General features: G+C 35.2%; 1 protein-coding gene across 38 annotated transcripts in view, besides 3 other annotated features; it reads right to left on the bottom strand.

The window, feature by feature from the left end:
• The window catches only part of CCSER1 (coiled-coil serine rich protein 1), a 1,477,902-nt gene that overhangs the window by 1,267,457 nt on the left and 182,515 nt on the right, over nt 1–27,930 (bottom strand). For 35 of the 38 annotated variants that reach the window (XR_001741218.2, XR_938733.3, XR_938734.3 and 32 more), the window contains exon 3: nt 24,792–24,976. Coding sequence is in view for 33 of the 38 variants with exons in the window: in XM_011531936.2 (XP_011530238.1) it covers nt 24,792–24,976 (185 nt within the window). In the remaining 5 variants the exon portion in view is untranslated. Of the gene's footprint in view, nt 1–24,791; nt 24,977–26,319; nt 26,501–27,158; nt 27,302–27,930 lie in introns of those variants that run through there. The other 3 variants (XM_017008201.2, XM_047415684.1, XM_017008200.2) reach the window with 3 other exon arrangements.
• Nucleotides 22,467–22,761: an enhancer, noted in NCBI's record as "tiled region #11449; K562 Activating non-DNase unmatched - State 12:CtcfO". NCBI's record gives its function as "activates a minimal TATA promoter and a strong SV40 promoter by Sharpr-MPRA in K562 cells {active_cell/tissue: K562}" and the evidence as "EXISTENCE:reporter gene assay evidence [ECO:0000049][PMID:27701403]".
• Nucleotides 22,467–22,856: a biological region, named in NCBI's record as "Sharpr-MPRA regulatory region 11449".
• Nucleotides 22,497–22,856: an enhancer, noted in NCBI's record as "active region_21724". NCBI's record gives its function as "activates an Ori minimal core promoter by ATAC-STARR-seq in GM12878 lymphoblastoid cells {active_cell/tissue: GM12878}" and the evidence as "EXISTENCE:reporter gene assay evidence [ECO:0000049][PMID:35858748]".

Below are 27,930 nucleotides of genomic sequence, written 5' to 3'. Positions count from 1 at the left end.
TTTTTTTGTTTGGGAAAATATAGATGTTTCTAAAAAATTATTTTATTTAACATATAATGGGTTAAATACTATTATCTGAAAATAGCTTACTTTTTTTCAGATGTCTGTTTTCATTATTAATTAGGTAAGTATTAATTGATACAACTCACAGAAACCAACATTCTTTTTGATCCTCAGTAATTTTTAAGAATGTTAAGGGATCTTGTAAAAAAAAAAAGATTAAAAACAACTACATTAGCATATTTATTAGTATTAATTACTATCTATATATCTCAATTTCCTCATTTGTAGTATGTGAAAAATAATAATGTCTAACTTTAAGGGATTTTTGTGAAGACAGATACTCCAATGGCTGAAGTGCTATACTTTCCAGATCCCCACAATCAGGACTGAAACATGCATTCTCCCAGCTGCTGTGTTTTGACTACTATCTGCTCTCAACTAAATCCCTCTTCACGACTTGGCCTCAGCTCTCAGCCCTTACTGCCTTGTCCACTGTGGGTCACAACCCCTTCTCCGAGCAGTCTGCACTCCTTGATCAATATGGAGGTATAGAGAATGCTTCCTCTTGCCCTGATGTAGAGCAAATATGAAGACTCATCTCAGTCTGAGAGTTCATTATATGATCAGTTGAGGCCCTGTTCCCACTGCATTACATTTCAACTTATCCTTCTGTGCAATTCTGCTTTCTTCATTCAACCACCTTTTACAAACATAATTGATGGAAGTGAGTAGAGAACTGGTACATGGGAAGAGCCAGAGAACAGATATTCAGGCCTTATTGATTCTGATTGCAAGTTCTGTTTTTTCTACTTCACCTTATTTTCTAGGCCAGATATTACCTTGTCTTGCAGTTTGTAATGTTTTGTAAATAAACCATTTGTGATGTGTTCACCTTTGATTTTAGGCTTAGGGCCAGTCTGTAGATTAATAAACATCAGCCATTAATAAACATCAGCTAATATTGCTGACGAATGCAGAAGGATTTGCTATTGAGTATATTTATTATAAATTGTATGCAAAAAAACTGGCTGAATTCCCTTGCTTTATAAATGTGTATTTTTACATATTGGATTCACTTTAGCAAAGTATACACGCACCACCATCATCACCAGGATTGCTACTTTCTTGACAATCAAAGCAAAAATAAACTCCCTATGCAATACCTTTACTCAAAGACACAAATCTAGGACACATATCCTCAAGGAAAGGACCAAGCTGATTTGTAGTTCTTCTCACATAATGATAAGGGAAATCATAAATTTATTAAATGTTTTTGAAGTCTTTAACAGCCTGTTCTTACTTAAACCATTCTTACTTAAACCCAGTCACTTCAAATTAAGTCTAGGAAGAAGACAGGTGAAAACTGGTTGAGATTCAATAGTCTATTAATGAAAGCACAGAATTGTCAGTTCAAATTGGTCCTAAGTGTTTTTATTCATTTTACACTTTCTTACATGACACATGTAGAGTCCTATGTTTGGAATCTGAAATATTGTTCCTCCACATTATCAGTGATCCTAAGGATAACTCTTTAACTAAATCTATACCACCAAAATAAATAAATCTACTATTGTCTCTTTAGTCCTTTAACTCAAGATTACATAACTGTCAGTTAACCTAGTCAGTAGCCAAAATAATCATTCTGTGGAAATTTCTGCAGTCAAGGCCAAATTCTCTTGGAATAAAACAAAATTTAGAAAATCTAAGGTCTAGTGTCTAGAAAAAAAGGATTAATTATCACTTTCTAATCAGTTTTCAGACATGTGATTTATGCTATTTTTCTATGAATGTAACATGTTTTTAAAGATTATTTCCCAAAACAGTGTATCCATGGCATAGAAATGGTGAGTGTTCTTAATATTGAAAGAATATACATATTTTATAAAAGCCAAAAATATAAAAAAGCTATAAATATCTATGTCGGGCGTGATGGCTCACGCCTGTAATCCCAGCACTTTGGAAAGACAAGGCGGGAGGACCACTTAAAATCAGGAGTTTGAGTCCAGCCTGGCCAACACTGCAGAATTGTGTGTTGCAACAGAGAACAATACACAAGTTACAGGGAGGTAGGATTCAATAGGAGAAAGAATTTTAATGACTACATCCATTTACTAAAAGTGCACAGTTTTTCATGGGGGAAATATGACTATGTAAGTTTTGATATATAATAAACTTCCAATAAATATTAACTTTCCAAATTTTCCATCCCTGACAATGAGCAAATTTAGGGAACAAATATTTGCTTTCATAGGGCTAAAAAAGAAAAGGGAAAATGTTATATAAGGCTTAATCATGAAAATTATAGATGAAATGTCATAGAAAGCTCATATTCTTAGGTATTAGGAAAAACATCTTAAGGTCTCCTAATAATAAATACTTAAGAAAATCCTGACAACCTACAAGCTTATATATAATTACTACCTCTCTTCAGACATGTTTGTTTGTATTTCTCATTTCTAATCCACTCATCATTAATTAATTAGTCTGTCATCTTTAAGTTCACTTTACGCATGAATTGGATTTGTGAATGGTTTAAAAATTAAGTGTGGCACTTTTATTTTCTGTCAATGAAGAAGCCTATATGATACCTAATTATTCTTTCTTTGCCATGACGTATTTTAATTAGAAAATAATCTTGCAATCAGCTCATGCCAACTGCATCTCTGGCTACTTGTTTCTTCATGTCCAGTGTCTTTTAGAAAAAATAATGCCTTTGAATAAGGTAGTTGATTTCAGAATTAACACACAGGAGCCAAACCAAAAACCCGCTGCTACTTACAATACAATAAGTATAAATCCCTATAGTCACATCCACTGCCTACACATAAGATTTTTGACTTTTATAAATTCTTCCTGTTACCTTTTGTCACCTTTCACACTACCCTATGTGCAAGACTATGAGGATATTTTACAGAATGACAGTTTGGTTTGTGACTAGAAAATAGGTTTATCATAAATTGGGCTGTGTGACTTCAGTCACTAATAAATTGTGGTATTTTATAATTGAAGTCAAAATATTAGAATGGTACACAAACTACTGAATAAAAGAAAAATAGCCAAAATATAAATAATTCATTGGTGTCCTTCTCTTAGGAACGTCATTATTGCCATTCTCCCTAATAGATTTAATTGATAAGTTCATGATTATTGGGTAACTATTCACTAATGGGAAAGCTTTTAAATACACAACTCTATTATTTTTAAGAACAAGCATAAAACAATGCATAATTGAATAAATAATATGAAACTTTGGCTAAATGCTGAGAGAAAACTTTTTTTTTTGGCAGCAAAGTATCTCAAACAAATTGCAATATAAAGTTTATCTCAAATGTCAACAAAAAAGCAATGTGCTGTTCTGTAGTCACAATAATAAAGAACACTGTCTTTTTTTATGTAAAGTATTTTTTACTCTAACCTATAGCCACATAATGAATTCATTTAATATATTTAAAATTAAATGAATGATGATTCCAGAAGGCCTATCTGTTTGTGCTACTTTCCTGCTTAAAACCAATCGCTTAAAAAAAGTCAATCGCTCCTGACTTCCTACCCAAACCCTCATTATATAATAGTGACTCTCCCTGGCCTAGCTCTTCTCTATCTCCTACCCCTTTCTATCATAGCATCTCACCTTTATTCTAACTCTCCTGCCTTACTGAAATACTTTGTGCATTATCGCAATTATACATGAATTTCTCTTGGTCTAAATTGCTGTTCTCTTGGTTTCTCTTGAGCTCACCAAGGTAATGGTTGTGTTAAGAATACAAAACAGAAAGAAGGCCAAGAAGGTGATCGCATACTGAAGTATTACCTAAAAGGCTTTCCCAAAGATTACTACATTCAATAGATTATATAATTGTTTGATTTTGCTATTTACTGTAAGAGCTCTGACTCAGTGAAGTTAAAAGGTAACTTGCAAATTTGTATCCAATGATGATACAAATGTTTTTGTCTAGTAATTGATAATTGTCCTGCAGGACCTGAACCGATTTTGTATCCAACTTTCCAATATTACTCTAGCATTCTTCTATCAAATTGCTATAAATATCCAGTTAATCAAATGCTCTTTGAACCAATTTACTATTGTGCAGGTTTTCTTATTAATGAATTGAGTAGATCTTTGATTCTTGTCCAATCTATATTTGTAAAAAATCATTTTTAAACTTTTGAAAATTACACTTTGACAATTGTGGACAACTCACTGAGATGCTGAAGTAAACTCACATGCTAGAACCACTTAAACTGCATTGCTGGAGAAGTAACTTCACGGTCTGATTAAGACCAGGCATGTCTCTTCTTGGATCTCAAAGTGACTTTCAAGTGGCAATAGCATTTCACGTTTGCTGAATTTCTGTTTGTTTTTTTCTTCTGATTTTTTTCTTGGTTTTATTTCTTTTTTTGTTTCGTTTTGTTTGTTTTGTGTTTGTTTCTGAGAAATTCTGTTATTCTGTTTCTTGTCTAATTCCTGGTTAGTGCTATGTTCTTTTCCACAATTCATCATCAAAACTGTTGAGTCTATGTCTTGTCTTGAACCACTCCCGGTTACAACTGTGTAGGCAAGAGAGCACCCTATGTAAAAGGCATGGCTTCAGCTGTGTCCCTTTCCACAGAGAGGTGAGGAACTAGTAAACACTTTCTTTACCAAGTGATCAAAAGTAACATCACCAGGAATGAGATAAATTGACATTTTGCACCCCCTGACATGATCCACTAAGAAGAACAATATATTACACATGTAGTTTCTCTTCCAAAAATTGCATAAGCTGAATCTAATAGTGAAAAACCAGACAATCATGAATTAGTCTGCAAATAACTGTCATGAGTGTTAGTGCCATGTAAGAGAAAAAATGATGAGAAACTATTTCAGATTAAAGGAGAGAAAAGAGACATAACAACTAAACATAACACGTGGTTCTGGATTGGAGCCTAGATTTTGTTTTAATTGAAACAACTAGGAAAAACTGAATATAGATTTATATTAAATAAAATACTGTGGCAAGGTTAAATTTGCAGATTTTGATACTTACTTTCTGATGTAAGAGAATATCCTTCTTCTTAGAAAATACATGCTAAAGTATATAGGAGTAAAGAATCATGATGTCTACAACCAACACTCACATGATTCACAAAAATAATATAGATAATATATGTTTGTTTTATCACAGAGACAGAAGGAGAGAGAAAGAAAGACAATGTGATAAAAATCACCAATTTGTAAATCTATCTAAAGGTCCTATGAGAGTTCTTTACTTAATCCATCTAACTTCCTTGTAACTATGAAATTATTGTTAAATAAAAATAGCCGGGTATGGTGGCTCATGCCTGTAAATACAGCACTTTGGAGGGCCAAGGCAGGTGGATCACCTGAGTTCAGGAGTTTGAGACCAGCCTGACCAACATAGTGAAACCCCGTCTCTACTAAAAATACAAAGTTAGCCCAGGGTGGTAGCGCACGCTTGTAATCCCAGCTACGTGGGAGGCTGAGGCAGGAGAATTGCTTGAACCCAGTAGGCGGAGGTTGCAGTGAGCCAAAATCAAGCCACTGCACTCCAGCCTGGGCAATAAGAGCAAAAAAAAAAAACTCCATCTCAAAAAAATAAAATAAAATTTACTTATGAAAACTGTAGCGACGTGGCATAACTAAAGTGATGCTCGTTCTATAAAGCATGAAAGTAAGTTTGGTTAACTTTTTCTTTAAAGTAAAAGATTCACATGCGGGAACAGTAGAAGAAGCAATACCTAATTTATCTGTTCTCTTGAGTCTGATACTATTAATATGCAACTGAGTTTTGTTATTTTCAGTAATGCTTTTATTTTTAAGAAATAAGTTGACACTAAGAAGAGGCAGAAAAAGGGGACAGAGGGGAAAAAATAAAAATAGAGATGAAGATACCTCATTTTACTTCTCTGAGTTCTACTTCCTACAAGTTCTGTTTTGTGAATCTGACAATTCGTGGAAACAGATTATCTGAACAAATGTATAATACAACCTTTCAAAGTTTAAAAAAAAAAAAAAGCTGTCTTACATTTCTTGGAAGACATAATGCCCAGTTTCTGGCTCATGGTAGTCCACAACGTTCACTGAAGAAATGCATTGGACTCACTTTACTTAAACCTTTGCTCTACCTCACCAATAATTATAAGCCAATTATATCCCCTCACTTCTATTTTCAGATTTGGTTGTGGGCTGTTCACCATTTGATTGATTACTTAGATCTGTAATAGAATCCAGAACTAGTAATTTCTTACTTATTCTAGTAAGGTGTCCTTGTGGGAAAGGAGCCTCTATTTTCAGAATGCAGGCATTTCAGGACTCTGGTAGGAAATCTAAATGTTTCAGATTCAAGACTTTCTTTTAGTTTCTTTTAATACCATGTAACTCAGCTGCCACAAGTAAAGAAATCTTCTCTTCCTGTTGACTATGTCATCCCCATGCCCTAAAATAGTACCTAATGCATAACGGGCACATAGTTAGCACTGGGTCAAACAGAATTTACTTTATTTGTCCATTAGGTGGACATTAAGTCCATCTAATAAAATCATCTTTTTAACACTCTCTTTAATTTGGGTTGCTGTTTTATCCTGAGCATTTCTACTGTTACTTTATTATGCACTCATGCTTCTTAAAAAAAGAAAAAAAAAGAAAAAAATATTTTTAGTGAAGTTTTTATCTATTGTTTCAGTAAAATAGGCTTGCTTATTGAACCAGAATAATTTCCTATCTTATGGTAAAAGTATTCTTATTTTTTAAATAATATAGAAATTTTTAGCAAAGCTATAGTACCAAAATTTATAAATCACTGTATTTTATATTGTTTTACAAAAGGAAAAAAAAATTCTGTAGAAATCATTTGAATAGGTCGCTTGTTCTGATTTCCTAAAAATTACTTAATAGTCTATTTATAACAAGCAGAGAATCATGAAAAGCTGAAGATTCAAGCATCTTTTATGTTCAACCCCACTGCACTGAATCAAAAAAATACAAAGCAAAACTATATACTGAACAACTGTGGCTATCTTTGAACTTCTTTAGTTAACAGACCTTACAGGCTTCCAGCAGCGTAATAGTAAGTTCCCTTCAAGAAATCATAGTATCACTTCATAAAACTTAATGGCATCCCAACTTCTTTTGTTATGCAGGACTTCCTAGAGAGATAAATGCTATTAGAGAAAAGCACGCATTAATAGTTCCTTTCTCTTTTTCTAAATGTAAACCCAGCATCTATGCCTCACTTCTTTTTTTCTCAGCTATAGCAACTTCCAGTGGACGGCTGGGTCAAGTTAAAGCTTTAGCATCAATGTACTCTGGCACCCACTTGGCTCAGAGATACTTTCTATGTACTTTTATTATTATTATTAAAAAATAAAAGAGAGAAAGATAAAGTGAGAATCACTGTGATTCATGAACCATAGCTAGGTGGCTGATCTGCTTTTCATTTAAAATCACTATTTGTATTAATGTATCCACACTTTGGAACATAAATCTTACTGAAGGTAACAGCATGCTGAGATATACTGTCTCATCCCAACTGAAGCCTAATACATGATATGAATTATCTGACAGCTGGTTACCCTCTAGTTCTAATCCCTGATAGTTTAAATATTCAAGCTGAATAACCTACTGGTGGAAGTATCCTTCCAATAGAATAAAGAAAGAAGAAAGACAAGTGCAAAAACTCGAGTGTGTTACAAAAGTTTCTCTCACAAAAGATTAGAGATCTTAAATTATCATAGAAATGACCATTACTACTAAATATACTACGTTCAAAATTTATTCTTAAAGGAAAATAAATAATCTATCATTATTTTCTTCTATGTTATTTTTTGGTCTTTGAAGTTATTGCCTATTTTGAATAGCATTACCTTAAAATTTGACAAAAGATACTTTAAAATTAGTAATTTATCGAGTTATTATATAAGTTACATAAGTAGTCACATAAATGTCTACAATGGTTAAACTTGTATTTATTTAAGAAATAAAAAAATGCAAATTAAATTTCTCTGTAAATAGCCAAGACACCTGTCTTCTGAGCAGATGCTTTTTTCCCAGTTTAATAATCAGAAAATAACTGAGTTGAGTAAACTTTCTAACTAAAGTATAACATAAATCATAGCATTCAAATCTTAAGCATACTGCTCAATTAATTTTTTTCTAAGTGATTATAAATCGATTTTGAAGACTGTGAAAAATGTATGACTTTTCAAAAAATAGCCAAATACAAATCAAGTAAATAGCACATTACCCTTATAAAGATCTAATAGATAAATAACTTGAACATTTAGGAATTTTTAGTTGTGGCTGAAAGGAACTAACACTGTCATGGTAAAGATATACCCTAAATGTGAGTTTGACTTTTAAAATATTTCTTTTCTAAATCACTACTTTAAAAGGCAATACTATTTGTTTTTCAATGTTTCTAGTTTTGACACGTTATTGATAAAACAACTGTCATATTCACTTGTATAGCACTTTAAATCTTACAAAGCCTTTTCACATAAACTATATTATTTGATTCTATGACAACTGTATGAGGTGGGCAGTATTATTATTATCTTCTGAAACAGGTAACATTGGAGTTCAGTGTCCTTTCCCAAATCAATCATTCTTTTCATCATACCATGTACTTGATTAAAATAAAATCACATCTAACTGACAAAAAAGTATTCCAATTTTGTAAGTTTTCCTACTTTGTTCATATTGTGTTTTAGAAGAAAGTGTACCTTTGATTTTTAAACAATGCACTTTTATTTCAGACAAGTTTCATAAAGATAAAATACAAGTGCATATTCTTACAGCATATGAAAGATTAGGAGGTACCAAAAGCCTTTAAAAAACAAAGAAGTGTGGAAAAGCATGAAAATATTACAAAAGTGTTTGTGTTCACTAATTTAGTACATTTTATTACTTTATTACTTTTTTTATTTTTAGACACTAAAGGTATTTTATAGATTTTCGTTTTTTCTAAAGTCATAGTCAAAACTTCCCACCCCTCCCCAACACATGCCCTCTGCACACCACAAGCTCCTCTTGGACCAGAGCCAGCCTGAGGCACAATTCAGCCTGAGGCACAGTCCCTGGGAAGCTCTGAAGGAGACAAAGCAGAGACAACAGTAGCAGAGGCCACACTGCAGGGCAGAAGTGGGCAACATCTGTGTCTCTGGGGGTTGCCAAGTTTCCTGGATTGTTTAATACATGCTGCTTGCACAATGCCCGCAACTTTTGCCACTGCCTTTTGCTTGACTTAAGCTGCTTTCAATTTGGAAAAATAATGCATAATGGTCAGTGATAGCAGTGAGAGTAGAAAATAGTATTACAATGTATTACATTTCTGATTCTAATAGGGAGGTCCTACTTTAAATGACAGAATTGCTGCTTCTCCAAAGTGACTTTAGACACAGAAGGGGATATTAAGAATTACTTGACTATTTTAAAAGCAGGCTGAAATATAGTTGTATAAAAACAAAAATTACAATAGCAATATACATCAAAAAAAAAAGGAGAGAATCCATTAACTATTAGGGCAAAATCACTGCATATTTCTCTATATCCACTCCAAAGATAATTGCCTTCAGAGTTTTGGCTATTCTCCCTATGGAAATAATTTTTCATAGGCCCTCATTATATTTCTATAAATCTAATATATTGTGATTGTCGTGCCTATTCAATTTTGTCAGATTTCCAATATAATAGAAATTCCCAGCCTTTGTGTTTGGAATCCACTTATAACTTCCCCTCTATCTTAAGTTTTTAGATAGGACAGGTAAATAAAAAAGCAATAAAGGATCAAATGGCAGAAATAGCTGTGTTTAAAGTGTGGGTGTGAAGAAGCCTCCAAAGGAATCTGAAAAGAGCAAAGAAGAATGAGAATAACCACAGGAGATTTCGCACTGTGAAAGAAAGAGAGTAAGTGCGCAGAGTCCTCAACACTGTTAAATGAATACAAAATTAAGATTAAAAAAAAGAAAATTGGCAAAGTCACTGATACCTTTAGATAGTTCTCAACTGGGGGCAATTTTTATCTACCAGGGCACACATGGCAATGTCTGGAAATATTTTTAGTTGTCACAACCAGGGGGTCCCACTGGCATTTATTAGGTAGGGGTAATGAATGCTATTTAACATCCTGCAATGCACAACACAGTCCCCCTAACACGGAATTATCCAGGACAAAATCTCAATAATGCTGATGTTGAGAACCTGTATTATAATGGCTAAAGTACATGAAATCGAGGAATTCATAGGCAGTGAGAAAATGAGTATGGCAAGTGTCACGACTGTTTGCCTTGTAGGGAAAAAGAGGGATAGGATGGAGAACTTTAGGAGCAAGTAGGATACAGAAAAATATTATTTTTTATTTGTTTCTTCAAAGATGGAAAACTTGGCAGTGTTTTAAACTGACAGCAATGAAGAGATGGGAAAGAAACTCAAGACAGCAGAAGAAACATACTGATGGAGTACCGTTCTAAAGTAGATGAGCAGTTAAAATGGGGACAAGTGGTAGAATTTTTGCTTAGAAGAAATGAGAAAACAAGTATTTCCCTAAGATCAAAGGAAATGAACACCAATGGGTAAAAATACAAGTGAGGGGGATTGCAAGAATAGAACAGATATTTTGAGGAGAGCATTCAAAGTTTCCACTTGCTGCCTGAGTTAAGCAGCTAGCCTGTGATCCATTTTCCCTCTTACAGGGGAAAATGGTGTCTGCTTTCCTGAAAGTAAGAAAGCAGATGACCTGGTAGGATCTCTTTGGAAACATACTAATGACAGACTTCCTAGCAAACAAACTGAAGGGTTTTCACTAGGGCAGTTTATCTATATACTGCTTTTGGCAGAATATGTCTGAATTGCTTATGAAAAATGAAGATGGAATCTAAAAATATATAGGCTATGGTTCCCTGAAAAATGTCCATCTATGCTGTATCACTGAGTATAAAATGGAGATGCTTCATATTGAGATGGCTCCTCCTGTACAAATGAGGTCACTGGTACACACCCAACCCTCCAAACCTCATCCAATACCCTGGGCCAGGGCTCATCGGATGCCGAAAGAAAGGGCCTGGGGAGCAAGAGGGATATTCCAGACCACCCCCTACTGCACCTATCTCTCTTGAAACCTGATAAGAATTCTGATTTATGTGAGTCTCTCTTGGCAATAAAATTCTTAATGTTTCTCACTGACACATAAATTAATCACTGTGTGGTATTGAGATAACTAGCTGAGTATGAAAATAATTTTGTATATAATTACAAATGTATACAATAAAGAGCCTAACAGAGAGATTTAAAAGAATTAGTAGGTAGTCTGTTTTAGGTGGGATGTACCAAACTAAGAACAACAGAAGATATATATATATATATGGAATTTCAGAGCAAACTTTTAGCACGAGTAAAATAATCAATGAATGAGATTATAAAAGTGATAAAAATGGCAGCTACTCTAATTTAGAAACGGCTAGTTTAAAACAAAAAGTTATCGGCTGGGCACGGTGGCTCACGCCTGTAATCCCAGCACTCTGGGAGGCCGAGGCAGGAGGATCACGAGGTCAGGAGATGGAGACCACCTTGGCTAACACAGTGAAACCCCGTCTCTACTAAAAATACAAAAAAAATTAGCCGGGCGTGGTGGCAGGTGCCTGTAGTCCCAGCTACTCAGGAGGCTGAGGCAGGAGAATGGCCTGAACCTGGGAGGCGGAGCTTGCAGTGAGCCGAGATTGCGCCACTGCACTCCAGCCTGGGTGAAAGAGTGAGATTCCGTCTCAAAAAAAAAAAAAAAAAAAAAGGTATCACATAGGAAGATTGTGAAATTGCATATGCAGATTCACTTGTAAATTACACTGTTTTACACTTACATTACAAATGTGATAGTTTGTGAGACAATTATAAATGTCTCAATTTTAAAATTACTTAAAAAGAGTATGAATATATTTAGATATTTCTATATTTTTTAATTCTAATGGTCAATACTGAATATAATTCTTCAGTAGTACTATATTTCTTGACCTTTGGAGTCAGAATTTCTTTGACTTATTTAATTTATTGATGTTAATTTAATGTGTTTAAATTTCAACACCATAAAATAAGTATAAAATAAATCGTCTTCATTGTCTAAAATGAATAATGTACAAACCTCAGATTCCAGTGACTGTCACCTCAGAACAGGTAGTTAGTTTACTGAAGGTCAATTCTGTGCTGCAAATTGTGAAGCATCTATTCAGATGGTCAGAGATCTGTCGCAGACCCTGAATCAATAAATATTATCTCTTATGCTATGGAAGCTGTCCCAGCCCATTCAGTTAGCTAAATAAGGAACAAAGCAGTTGTCCTCTCACGGAAAATTAAGAGATAAACTTAACTGATCCAATTAAAAATAATATAACTTGAAAAATAAAAGATAAACAATCTTAGTTTTCTAACTTCTTAATTTTAAAGGGATATGAACTATTAATATCTAAAGTATATCCTAGATTCGTAGGGTTACAGGTAAAAGATATCTAATTCTCATTTACTGCTGTCCTTTTAAATTATTTTCTTAATAAATAAGTACAGTTTATTCTAACATACATATTTCATACTGCTATTGTTACAACATGACTATTTATAGTAAGTTTAATAATGTAGGAGGTAGAGCAATGTGGCTGAATAGAACCCCGAGTGATTGTCCCCACATCGGAACACCAAACTGAACAAATATTCAGGCAAGAAAGCACATTCATAAGAACCAAAAGTCAGGTGAGCAATCATAGTACCTGGTTTTAATAACATGTGAAGGAGAGGCATTAAAGAGGATAGGTACCAAAACAGAGATATAGATCAATGGAATAGAACAGAGCCCTCAGAAATAACGCCACGTATATACAACTATCTGATCTTTGACAAATCTGAGAAAAACAAGCAATGGGGAAAGGATTCCCTATTTAATAAATGGTGCTGGGAAAACTGGCTAGCCATATGTAGAAAGCTGAAACTGGATCCCTTCCTTACACCTTATACAAAAATTAAGTCAAGATGGATTAAAGACTTAAACTTTAGACCTAAAACCATAAAAACCCTAGAAGAAAACCTAGGCATTACCATTCAGGATGTAGGCATGGGCAAGGACTTCATGTCTAAAACACCAAAAGCAACGGCAACAAAAGCCAAAATTGACAAATGGGATCTAATTAAACTAAAGAGCTTCTGCACAGCAAAAGAAACTACCATCAGAGTGAACAGGCAACCTACAAAATGGGAGAAAATTTTCGCAACCTACTCATCTGACAAACGGCTAATATCCAGAATCTACAATGAACTCAAACAAATTTACAAGAAAAAAACAAACAACCCCATCAAAAAGTGGGCGAAGGACATGAACAGACACTTCTCAAAAGAAGACATTTATGCAGCCAAAAAACACATGAAAAAATGCTCACCATCACTGGCCATCAGAGAAATGCAAATCAAAACCATAATGAGATACCATCTCACACCAGTTAGAATGGCAATCATTAAAAAGTCAGGAAACAACAGGTGCTGGAGAGGATGTGGAGAAATAGGAACACTTTGACACTGTTGGTGGGACTGTAAGCTAGTTCAACCATTGTGGAAGTCAGTGTGGCGATTCCTCAGGTATCTAGAACTAGAAATACCATTTGACCCAGCCATCCAATTACTGGGTATATACCCAAAGGATTGTAAATCATGCTGCTATAAAGACACATGCACACGTATGTTTATTGCGGCACTATTCACAATAGCAAAGACTTGGAACCAACCCAAATGTCCAACCATGATAGACTGGATCAAGAAAATGTGGCACCTATACACCATGGAATACTATGCAGCCATAAACAATGATGAGTTCATGTCCTTTGTAGGGACATGAATGAAATTGGAAATCATCATTCTCAGTAAACTATCGCAAGAACAAAAAACCAAATACCGCATATTCTCACTCATAGATGGGAACTGAACAATGAGAACACATGGACACAGGAAGGGGAACATCACACTCTGGGGACTGTTGTGGGGTGGGAAGAGAGGGGAGGGATAGCTTTAGGAGATATACCTAATGCTAAATGACGAGTTAGTGGGTGCAGCACACCAGCATGGCACATGTATACATATGTAACTAACCTGCACATTGTGCACATGTACTCTAAAACTTAAAGTATAATAATAAAATTTAAAAAAAAAAGAGGATAGGAAAGACACTGTTGCATTGCCCAAACCACCATTACTCCATCCTCTGGCAGCACAGACAGAAAATTTGTGAGCTTGTGGGAGGGAGAGTGAAGTGATTGTGAGGCTTTGCATTGGGACTCGGTGCTGTCTTGTCACAAGAGAACACAACACAGAACCAAATTCTGCCAGTGCTCACAGAGAAACCATTTAGAGGTTTCCCCTCCTGCCAGAGGAGAATCCTCCCTCCTAGGGGTAGGAATCTGAGCTCCAGCTAGCTCCACCACCAGCTGACCAAAGTGGCATGGGGTCCCAAATAACTTTGAAAGACAGGTCACAAGAACTTCAGTCCTTGGGCAAATCCCAGTTCTGCACTGGACTTGGAGCCAGTGGACTTGGGGTACACATGACCCAGTGAGACAACACCTGTGGCAGCCAAGGGAGTCCTTGCATCACCCCTCTCCCAATTCCAGGCTGTGCAGCATGGGGAGAGACTCCTGCTTGAGGAAAGGAGAGGGAGGAGTACAGAGGATTTTGTCTTGCAACTGGTAACCAGCTCAGCTACATTAAAATGAAGCACCCTGCATATTCCTGAAGCCACTGATTCTAGACCCCAGCGCCTGGATGGCATTTCTAGACCCAGCCTGGGCTAGAAGGGAACCTGCTGCCCGGAAGGAAGGATCCAGACCTGGCAGGATTCACCATTTGCTAACTAAAGAACATTTGGACCTTGCGTAAACATCAGTGGTAGCCATGCAGCAGTTGTCACAGACCTTGGGTAAGACCCAGTACTGCACTGGCTTCAGGCATGACCCAGTGCAGTTCCAGCTGTGGTGGCAATGGAAGTACTTACATTACCCCTCCCTCAGCTCCAGGCCACCTTACCACAGAGTCTCCTTCTGTTTAGGGGAAAGTGAAGGAAGAGAAAAAGAGACTTTGCCTGGTAAGCATTACCATTTACAACAGCAATAATAATAAAATATGTAAACTTTACTGGAATAAACTTAACCAAAGAAGTGAAAGATCTCTACAATAAAAACTATGAAACACTGATAAAGTAAACTGAAGATGAAACTGAAAAATCAATATTGTTAAAATATCCACACTTACCTAAGCAATCTACAGATTGAATGCAATCCATATCAAAATACTAATGACATTCTTCACAGATATAGAAAAATGATCCTAAAATTTTGATGTAACAATTCAAAATACCCAGAATAGCCAAAACCATCATGAACAAAAAGAATAAAACTGGAGGAATCACATTATCTGACTTCAAATTACATTACAAAGCTATAATAACCAAAATAGCATGGTAGTATCATAAAAACAGACACGCAGACCAATGGAACAGAGTAGAGATCTCAGAAATAAATCCACACATATACAGTGAATTCATTTTCAACAAAAGTGCCAATAACATACATGGAGGAAAGGACAGATTCCTCAATAAATGGTGCTGGAAAACTGGATATCCACATGCAGAGAATGAACCTACACGCCTATCTCTTGCCATATATAAAAATCAAATCAAAATGGATTAACACTTAAATCTAAGACCTCAAACTATGGAACTATGGAAGAAAACATTAGGGAAACTCTCCAAGACATTGGTCTTGGCAAAAATGTCCTGACTAAGACCTCAAAAACACAGGCAACCAAAGCATAAATGGAAAAATGGGATCACATCAAGCTAAAAAGCTTCTGCACAGCAAAGGAAACTATCAACAAAGTCAAGAGACAACCCACAGAAGGGGAGAAAATACCCATCTGACAAGGTATTAATACTCAGAATATATAAGCAGCTAACACAACTCAATAGAAAAGATAACTAAATAATCCAATTTAAAAATAGGCAAAAATATCTGAAGAGACATTTCTCAAAAGAAGACAAGCAAATGGACAACAGGCATATAAAAAGTGTCTTTTATCCAAACGACAGGCAAATAACAAATGCTAACAGGATGTGGAGAAAAGGGAACCCTTGTACACTGTTGATGAAAAGGTAAAGTAGAACAACCAGTATGGAGAACATTTTGGAGATTCCTTGAAAAACTAAAAATACAGCTACCATATGATCCAGCTTTCTCACTGCTAAGTATGCACTCGGAAAAAAGAAATTAATATATCAAAGAGATATCTGCACTCCCATGTTTATTGCAGCACTATTCACAATAGCCAGGACATGCAATCAACTTAAGTGTCCATCAGCAAGCAAAAGGATAAAGAAAATGTGGTACATACACACAATAGAATATTATTCAGCCATAAAAATCAGATGAGATCCTGTCAATTGCAACAACATGAATGAGACTGGAGGACCTTATTTTAAATAAAATTAATGAAGTGTGGAAAGACAAATTTTGCCTATTCTTACTCATATACAGGAGCTAAAAATTAAAACATTTGAAGTCACAGAAATACAGAATAGAATGATGGGTAACAGGAGCTGGAAAGAGTTGGAGGGTTGGGGGGACATTAATGTATGCAAAAATATAGTTATGTAGAATGAATAAGATCTAGTACTTTATAGCACAATAGGGTAACTATAGTGAAAAAATTATTTATTGTATATTTTAAAATAACAAAAACCTGGAATTGGAATGTCCCTAACACAAACAAATGATAAATGCTTGAGGTGATAGATAACCCAATTACCTTGATGTGATTAGTATTAATATAAATTGCATTCCTGTATCAAAATATCACATGTACCCCATAAATATATCCACCTATTATGTACCTGTAATAATTATTAAATTATGTTATCACAGAGGTAACAATGTAGGTGCTAAGTATTACTCAAACCGATCTTTAAATCATTTAAGAAGTGAGTTAAGTGTATGAATAAACTATTACTAATTTTGCCCAACAAACATACAAATTGTGACAGCTTCTAAATGAAAATGACTCATCTCAAAGTTCAGAAAGACAAAAATGAATGGAATATTTTTATTCAATCCTGCTTCTAAAGGCAACTCTGAATCTATAAGCTTATAAGAAACGAAGTGAGCTGGACTAGATAAAATAGCAGCGGATTTTAAAAATCTTCGCTTACCCATATTTGACCAAGATATTATATTTTAATGGGCTTAATGAATACCACAAATATTTGACTATTTCTTGTCCTCATTGTATGGCCAGTTTATAACTATCGTACTCATATAATCCTAGAAACCATTCTATAAGGCTGATAATCCTAAAATAAATTGTGCTTCCACTGGAACAATGTCATAATTGGTATGGCCTTCCTGATCAAGGATTTAGTGTCAAAAAAGCCAGAGCTTTATCAGACAATGCATCATAAGAAATACCTGTATATTTGAATAATAAGTTAAAATGTCAAAACTGTGCATAAGCACTCCACACACAATTCTTGTACTAGAAGCCTTAATTCACATCTATATAAACATGTATCATTATTTAACCAGAAATTTTACCTTTAATTTATTCATATTTATTAGATGCCTATTTTTCCACCAGGTGCTATATTAATGACCGCAAGAAATGCCAGTATATACACAGCTCCTTCCATTTAAACGATTGAAACCTTTCAGGTAAAATGAGACACATTCAAATAACTATGTGGTGAGTGTTACGTCCATGATACAATTTAGAAGGGTACTGAAAGGAAAATATGATTAGTAACTGGAAAAACAAATAAAAGCATAAAGGATTAGGGCTATTAACCTAAAATGTATGCCAGTTATCAACAAATGTAATTTCATGTTTAATGAGTGATACTTGTGATTTTCTTCCTTAAAATTTATAAGAATTGAGGAGAATGATTCATATGGCTCCATTTCCTGAAAAATATTAATGGCTTCCATTTTTATTAGATGTCCCTGTAACCAAGCAATATTTGCTTTAATTCTATTAACAGTCAGTTACACTAAAAACTGCAATCGTTATTTTAACTCCCCAAAGCCATTAACATTTTTACATACTGGAAAGTCTCATTAAGGATTTCAAGATTAAGAAATTTTCAAAATCAGATCTTCTAATTATCATCTTTGCTTTTTTTTGAGAGAGTCTTGCTCTGTTGCCCAGACTGTAGTGCAGTGGCGCGATCTCGGCTCACTGCAACCTCTGCCTCCCACATTCAAGGGATTCTCCTTGCCTCAGCCTCCCAAGTAGCTGGGACTACAGGCGCGTGCCACCACGCCTGGCTAATTTTTTGTATTTGTAGTAGAGACAGGGTTTCACCGTGTTAGCCAGGATAGTCTTGATCTCCTAACCTCATGACCCGCCCACCTCGGCCTCCCAAATTGCAGGGATTACAGATTTGAGCCACTGCACCCAGGCTGTCTTGTTTTTAATTTCAAGCTTGAGCAACTTTCATGCCGTGAAACAGAAGTGTGAAGGTGTATATACCAAATGAGCCCAGTGGGATTCTTTTGCTTGGCGGATTGTACAAGTGGGGTGTTTTGAGACTGATTTGTTTTAATATTAATCATGAGATTCATTTTGTACGTTCTTCTTTACTGTCCCAACTTTCTTTCAGCAAACCTGCTCAGCACTAGCAGCTGGGTCTCAGTTAGAGAAATGAACAAAAGACACAAGAAAGTTATGCATATATTTAACAGTGTCATTGAGTGTGTGAGATAAGGCACAGACAAAGCTGGGAAACAGGAGTTCATGTGCCCATTTTAACTCTTCTTAACTTTGGATTTCGATGCTCACAATCCAAATGAAGCATGCCCCACCCATTCTGAACTTAGAGATGGTCAAAATGGTTAAATCTGTTGTATTGGCAAGATAATGTTTAACCTTATCTCTCCCTTTGGGAACTCAAAAATCCTCAAGCACTGTCTCTTTCATCTTTGATTCTTCAGAGCAGATTGTCAATAAATATTTATTGTAAGAAACTGTGAATGTTTTAATGAATGAAGAAATGAAGAATTATAATGAATAAAGGATAAGCTAATAAATGAGAAAACAGCAGGCCCCAGAAGAAAAGTAAATGAATAGTAAAGTGTTTGGCTATCTCAAATAGGGTACAGTCATATTATTCTACTATTATCAATAATAAGTAAATTCTGCAGTTCAACATACCAAAAAATTAAATGTGATATGAGATGCTAACGATCTGCAACTAACTACTTCTTATTAATCAAATATAAATCGGATTTGTTCTTCTACCAAAGTCCTACAGTTATGTTTTTACTGTGTCATTCACAGTTTCCACATAAAAGCAGCAGGATGCTAAATGAAAGAAAACATGCTGTGTCAGAGTAAAATTGGCCATAAATGAAAGTTGTCTGAATCACTTAGCACAAATAGTACAGGGCAACTTTGCAAATGCATTTGCTGAGTAATCTGAAGATAATGCAACCTTCAAAACCAACTGCTTGGTGCAATGAAAATAAATACTTACAAAAATAGTAAAGATTCCTTGAGTCAAGGAAAAAAGTAAACTTAGTTCACTTAAGATACACATCTCAAGGCCTTTAAGTAAGGAAGAGAGAATATTCTAAAGAATAAAACCTGTAGTATATATGAATTCTTCAGTTACAGAGATGTTTTCATCTTTTCAACCACAAAGACCAGGACAGTGTGAAGCACAAAGTCAGGGCCCATTAAATGACTCTGGACAAAAGGGAAAGAGGAGGCAGTCAGTAAATCTCGATTAATTAAAAGAACTTGGATACAACAAAATATTTGGGAATATGAGTCATTAAGTGTTCACCAAACCTAAGTCTCCGCCTCTAGATACAGGAAACTCATTATTATTCTTGGCTGCTTTTGTTTCTAGTTTGGGCCATATGATTAGATCTGACCAATGAGTTGTGAGCAGAAGAAAGTGAGTTTCACAATTCAAAGTATTTTATTACAGGGACCTCCAGAGATCTCTTTCTTTTTGCCATGGTAAAAGGCAATGTTTGCAGAGTTAGCTGCTTCCACAGCCTGAATACAGGAGGAGGAGACATTGAACAGAACCCCAATGCCTTCCACAATAAACATGTAGCCTAAGTGAGAAAGAAATCTATATTATATAAGTCGCTAGATTTGGAAGTTATTATTTATTTATTTTATTTTATTTATTTATTTTTGAGACAGAGTTTCACTTTGTTGTTCAAGCTGGAGTGCAGTGGCATGATCTCAGCTGACTGCAACCTTCACCTCCCAGGTTCAGGCAATTCTCCTGCCTCAGCCTTCCGAGTAGCTGGGATTACAGGCACTGGCCACCATGCCCAGCTAATTTTTGTATTTTTACAAAATGCAAATAGAGACGGGGTTTCACCATCTTGGCCACGCTGGTCTTGAACTCCTGACCTCAAGTGATCTGCCTGCCTCAGCCTCCCAAAGTGCTGGGACTACAGGCTTGAGCCACCACGCCCAGCGGTATTTTTTATCACTTAGCCAAGTTTATCCTGACTCATCCACTTAGGCATTTTTCCTTCCTTTAACGGTACCAGGTCTTCTGTATTGTTCATTATATATGAATCTACTCTCACATTAACTTTTTTAGAGAGTAATCTTGTAAATATTTAGAGTTAGAATTCCCTATGTAAAGCCATTGGAGAACCCATGAGAAATCCTTACATGTATACATTTATATACCATAGTCTGGAGAGAAACTTCCTGAAGTAAGTTCTTTAAAGAAATATGTTCTTTAACTTTTTTCTAGAACAGCATTTTAAATTTTTTGGACAATCGCAAGAAATGTATTCAGAAAGCTACTCATTAGAGAAAAATTGGAAAAATACTATAAAGAGGTTTGAAAAAATATAATAAATGTGAACACTTATCAAATTGTTCCAAATTTACTTTGGATTCCTTTAATAAACCTAAGCCAATCCCAATTTGTTCTCGGCATTTGATGTTTGAAGAGTTCATACATCCTGTCCTTTCGCTTCCAGATTGAAATACCCCAGAAGTACACAAAAACAACAGAACTGTGGTATATCTAACTATATCTAATCCATCAGGTAATATCTTCGGTCTTTCAGGAAATGCTCAGCATCTTAATAAATAGAGCCATATTTTATTATGAGAATTGAAATCCCCATGAACTACATGAAGGGCTGCATTAATGCTAACATTAAAAGTTAGGAGTAAAGAAGTATTACAAAACTGCTAAGTATGAATATCCTCTTTTGTGACAAAGTTCCTTTTTGATGGGATATCTCTCAGTAAGGACATTGATACTATTCATCAGCATTTCAAGAAACATGACCGCATTTTAAGTTCAGATTAAGCACTAAATTTTGTTTCTGTTTTCCTCTTTTGTATCTCTTACAGAATGCTGCAGCCTAGACTTAGAGCAAGCAAGGTTAGATTGCTTTAAATGTTTTAATTTCATTACACCAAATTGATGCAAACAATTGAAAAATGGCTCAACTTAATTTTAAATCGAATACATTTTCCCAAAAGATTGTAGGATTTGAACTTAGAAAGGATCCAAATCCAAATCTTATCTCTGCCATTTATGAGCTATGTCATTTTAGGCAACCTGCTTATCTTCTCAGTACCTTATTTTCCTCTTTCGCAAAATTTGATCACCACAGAATCATTTAGTTGATAGTACTGTTGTGAGGACTGAATGTGATAATACATGTCAGGCATTAAAAGTAGTCACTTGGTTCCAACAAGCATTAAAAACACATGTTTCTATTATAATTGCTTTAAAATAAAATAACTGAACCATGGATACATTCTTAAATACATGCAGTTGCTTAAATTATTTTGGAAGAGGAATATAGAAAATGTGCCAGTGTTCACACAGACAGCTACAATTTTCCAAATATACATCACTTGTTTCACATGTATCTAGAACTAAATAATCCCTACCATTTCTTCCTTACAGTGCTACAAGTTAAAAAACATATTTCATGCATTTTAAATTAATTAATTAAGTGTGAAGTAACTGCTCAGGTGCGGTGACTCACACCTGTAATCCCAGCACTTTGGGAGGTGATGTGAGTGGATCACCTGAGGTCAGGTGTTCAAGACCAATCAGGCCAACATGGTGAAACCACATCTCTACTAAAAATACAAAAATTAGGCAGGCATGGTGGCACACACTTGTGGTCCCAGCTACTCGGGAGGCTGAGGCACAAGAATCACTTGAACCGGGGAGGGGAGGTTGCAGAGAGCCGAGACTGCACCACTGCACTCCAGCCTGGGTGACAGAGTGAGACTCTGCCTTAAAAAAATTAAAAATTAAAATAAAAAATGAATAAACTGTAAAGTAACTGAAAGATGAGACATAACTTGTAAAATCCAAAGGAAGATGGTAAGATCGTGAAGTAGTTTTTGGTAGTTCTCTTTAGGAAATTCAAAAGTTTCAGTATTTATTTCAGTAAGTTTCATCTGTAAATCCAATGAACATGTACAATATTTTACCAAGTTTCTGTTCCAACCCTGATATACTGTCCACCACCACGGCAGTGGTGTCTTTCTGCCATCTAGTGGACAGACTATAATACTACAGGCACACTTTTGAAAATTTAAATATAAGGCCTCAAAGGAACAAAACCACTTTTGTTTCTTAAGTTTTAAATCTTAAAAGCGGATCGGAGGGCTGAGCGTGGTGGCTCACGCTTGTAATCCCAGCACGCTGGGAGGCTGAGGCGGGTGGATCACTTGAGGTCAGGAGGAGTTCAAGACCAGCCTGGCCAACATGGTGAAACCCCCTCTCTGCTAAAAATACAAAAATTATCTGTGCATGGTGGCAGGTGCCTGTAATCCCAGGTACTCGGGAGGCTCAGGCAGGAGAATTGCTTGAACTGGGGAGGTAGAGGTTGCAGTGAACCGAGATCGCACCAGTGCACTCCAGCCTAGGAGACAGAGCGAGACTCTGTCTCAAAAAAAAAAAAAAAAAAAAAAAAAAAGTAAATCTGAGAAGAGTGACTTTGTGATATTATAAGAAGCACTTTTTACATTTTATTTATTTATTTATTTATTTTTTATTTATCTTATCGAGACCAGGTCTTGCTCTGTTGCCCAGGCCGAAGTGCAGTGGTGCAATAACTCACTGCAGCCTCCAACTCCTGGACCCAAGTGATCCTCCCACATCAGCCTCCTGAGTAGCTGGAACTACAGGTGCAACCACTTCTAGCTAATTATTAAATTTTTTTTTAGAGATGAGTTCTCAATATTTTGCCTAGGCTTGTCTCAAACTAGAATTATTTAAATTAAATGCAGTATGAAAAACACATGAGATATGAGAGAATATGTAAAAGGCACAACTTTGAGCAAGTTGAATAGTGTAACCCTATTAATATAAATGCCTCTCCATGAAGAAATACTGAAAATGTTGTGATGATAAATGTTTTGTAATACTTCATTAGTCCTAACTTTTAATGGTGCATCAATTGGAAATCCGCTTTAACATATTTTCATACTTAGACCAAAAATATCCACTGCAACAATAATAATATAATAGCCAATGCACAAAAGAACAAAACGAAGCATGAAATATATGTTTCCATATGTACAAATGTAAACACATACTCACATAGTCATTCTTTAGTATAATGGAAACAAGACACCTATTATCACTTGCTATTTTGTGGTTACAAATTTGCCCAGGATTAAGAAATGGTCACACCAGAAAAAAACGATTAAAACCTCTAACATCAAGCACAGTGATTTTGCTATCACACAATGTTACCTTACTAACTTAAGGCTTCTTCACAAAATAATTATCAGATCTCAATTACCTAATATTTTCATTTGAAACCCAATTATGTAAAACAATAGAGATATCATAAGTGATTTATTTTTGAGCATTTTTCACATATATGCATGGATAGGTAGGTAGAAAGATTATTTTAAGGAACATTTTTAGATAATAGATGTTAAATACACTGCTGAAAAAGGACACATTTGTGAGAAGGTGAGCAAAGTGATCTCCAAAAGGCAATCACACTCTAATACTTGTGAAACCTGAGGCCACATGGACCCAAGGCTGCAGTTCGCCCCTCATCTCTTCCCACCCCTGGGTCCATCTCATACCATGAGGGAGCTTCATACTAATGCCTCTGTGACACCCTAGTTCACACATACAAACTCAGACCATGCCTCTCCCCACACACCCCACCTCCACCCTCATACTAAAAGCAGGCTCTACAATTTGGACCAGGAATAGGGTATCTTGATTACCTCCAATGTATGCAAGCATTGGATGGGCATTTCACATTGGTCCTCATAAGCTTCACACCAACTCCTCACCCTTTGTGGAAGGGCACTGCAGGAGGACAGCGAGGATAGGGTCTACAGGGACTAAGAGTGGTACTGGAGTAAGTGTGATTTACAAAAGGGTATTTTCTGGAGGGCTATATGGTGGAGAGAAGATGTGAAATAATGGTGTCAAAGGGGAGCCTCATGTTCAGCATTTTCCCTAGTTTCTGTATTCAAGTGTCTTGTTCTAGAATAAAGAATGTCAAACTTTCCATGGAAGCAAGGAAGACAGGAACTAAAGACAGCTGTCATGGTGAACTCCATCCTGACCTAGGTGAAAAATTTGTTTCTCTGACTTGTAATGTCAACTATGGAAACAAATTTTCCCTTCAAATATGAGGTGTCTATCCTGTAGTCTGTGTTCATTTTGCAAGAGACATGAACATGTCGGATATAGACAGCATTATTTTATTAGAGGCAGACATATGTATATACTTACCAAACTGTTCATTTTTGAAGATGAAGAACCTGCTCTTTGCTTTCTTAAACTATTAACTTCTTCTATATTTCCATCTTTCGGTTTCAAAATCATTCTGCTACTCCCTGCAGTGCCTTCTGACGAGGATCGCAGTCTCCTCTCTATAAATCTTCCTTCACGAAATGGACTGAGACTACTGGCAAGAACTATGGAAAGGAAAATAAATAAAAATGAAGGTAAATATTTAAATGTAGTTTTTACAAATGTCCCACTGAAAGATCATGAAAAACTCTTAGTGTTATTCAAAGTTTCTCTATCACAAGAAAACTTTTAAATGTATAGCATCAGTTTAGTTCACTTAATCATGTAATCTCTTTGAAGCCCAAAACGTTTGGAGTCATCCTTTGTTGCTTCGTTGCTCACATTAATCACATAAATGAATCCTGTCCTTATTTCCTTCAAACTGTATACAGAATCTGATTCCTTCTACCTCTCCTTCTAAGACCCTGGACCAAATCTATGCTGGCTTGGTTACTGCAATATTTGCTACAATTCTCCTACCTCTGCCTACTCTCATCTGCCTCTCCACCCGCAACACAATCTACATTCCACATAGTAGCCAGAATCATATACTTAAAACATAAGTGAGGGCCATCACCACCACTCCTCTAGCCAAAAGGTGATGTTTTTCAAATGGCATAACAAATTCTTCATAATATGACCCATATGACTGCTCTCTCTGTCCCCAAACCAGGGACAGGAGGAGCACCCTGTTCACCTGCTCACCTCTGCAATCTCATGTCCTGCTCTCCCCTCCATCACTCTGCTCATGCCACACTGGACTCTTGCTGCTCTGGTACATCACTGGCATGCTCCAGCCCTACACAGCCTTTGACTCACAACCTTGCACTAATATATTTCTCTCAAATATCTGTATGACTTATTATTTAAGTTCCTTCAAACCTTTACCAATATGTTACCTTGGGTATCATCCTGTTACATTTAAAAATGCAAACTGGAATCCCACTTCTGCTTCCTAAGCCTTTATTCTGCTTTAAACTTACCCTCAGCAGTTATCACCATCTGATATATATAGCATGTTAACTGAGTATCCCCAGTGGAAAGTAAGCCTCAGGAAGGCAGGGATCTAGGCCTGTTTTGTGTATTGCTACATCCCTAGTGCCTAACATAGTGTTAAAACAATAAATATTTGCTGAATGAATGAATGAGTAAATGAAAAAATTGTTCTAATTAGGCTCATCTACTAGTTTAAAGACTGTCCAGAATCTATTAGTCCAATATATAGCAGTTCTTTTTAAATAACTTTTTAAGACAATGAATAAAAGTTAAATTGCCAGATAACTCATTAGTTCTGACATGATTGTACACCTAGAACACTTAGATGTGTATAAAGTACTGGCTTAAATATTTCATACAAAATACAAACTAAATTTAGCATTATGAAAGTTAGTGTCTATAGCAACTCTTTATTGGATAAAATACATTTACTTAGCTGTTTTTAAAATTTTAAACTTCAAAATTATAAAATCCTTATAAATAGCACATGAATATTTTCAAAAACTAAAGGATAGTTTAGTTTGTTGACATTACCAGCTTATTTATCCAAGAACAGCCAACACATTATCAAATCAGCAAAATTAATGTGTTATTGTGTTACAAATAGGATCCCAATCAACATAGTAATAGTCTCCAAGATAACTGATCATTCTCTAATTTCCAGAGAGAGAAAAATATGCAGTATTCAATTAGGCTTTGAGGAAAGTCATCATTACTAAATAAGAATTAGATATGTCAGGATAATTGCATTTCTATCTCTTTTTTATATAATTTTAAAACTTCCTGGATTTCAATATCAAGTCCATCATTTGCTAACTATGTGACCCTATAAAGTTATTTAACTTATTATAAATTTTAGTTATTAACATGACATGCAAAATTTTTATAAGGACTATATGAAACAGTGCATGCAATCTTCTTAGTACATTTTTGGGCATATATTAATTATACAAAAGGGTAACCATCATTAATATCATCATCATTATCATATTCTCATGATTATATTACAGGTAAAGGAGCTAGGCATATATGACTAAAGAATACAAAGTTCCAAAAATGGACAAACATGGTCACGTGCATAAAAGTGATCTTGTATCAAATGAGAAAAGTATTAAGACAGCTGGAAAATTAACTCATGCATTTAAAACTTTGAAATTCTATGTTTATGGATAAACTTTATAATCCTATTACTCGTGACATTATGTCACATAAATTTTATTTAATATTTTAAGTCATGACATGTAGTAAAGCATAGTTATGGAGAGCCAGAGCTTTGGATTCAGAGAGTTGTAATCTGACTGCACTACTTACCAGCTGTATGATTCTTTAGCCTGTTTTCACATTTGTAAAATGGGAAACATAGGAGCCTACCTCATAGGATTTATATCCCAATAAATGAATTATTAGTTTTGTGATTGTGGACACACAGTTTATCTTTGCTCCCATCTTCTTGCCTGCAAAATAGCTTATAATAATAGTAGCAATTTCAATCATTTTAATTAATGTATATAAAGTATACAGAATAATATCTAGGACATAATAATCACTTCCAAATTTGGGAAAATTATTAGTAGCAGTAGTAGCATTAATGATAGTAGAGAAAAAGGAATTAAAATATGTCAAAGATAGCCCAGCAGGTGGTATATATTCAAAAATTTTCTTGAACTGAATTTCATGTTAAAAAAACAAAGTTTTCTGTAGCCATATTACAGTAATGGACATATACTAACACTTTTTTTAAACTAAAGGGAAGGTGTCCAAAGTTGCACAGTTAGTTAATGTCAGAGGCAGAGTTGAAACCTGTCTCCAGCTTCCAAAGATAGGTTTTTTTAAGCTTACAATTCTGTTATTGTATCTAGAGATAGGAATTATTTATGTTGAAACATGGATCCTAATTAATAATGAAAGCTTAGTTAACAAAGGAAATTATAAAATTCGTATTAAATTATACAAATTTTATAGTGATTTTAGCTGGAATATATCCATTTCATTAAATAAGAAATACCAATGCCTCTATAATAAACTCTATAAAAGACAGTCCTTACTTTGGAGAAATCCACATTGCAAACAATTACTTTCCATT

The sequence above is a fragment of the Homo sapiens genome, chromosome 4 (genome assembly GCF_000001405.40).
Source record: "Homo sapiens chromosome 4, GRCh38.p14 Primary Assembly".
Taxonomy (NCBI): Eukaryota; Metazoa; Chordata; class Mammalia; order Primates; family Hominidae; genus Homo; species Homo sapiens.
Note: the sequence above shows the minus strand (reverse complement) of the source record. Positions and strands in the feature narration are given on the sequence as shown.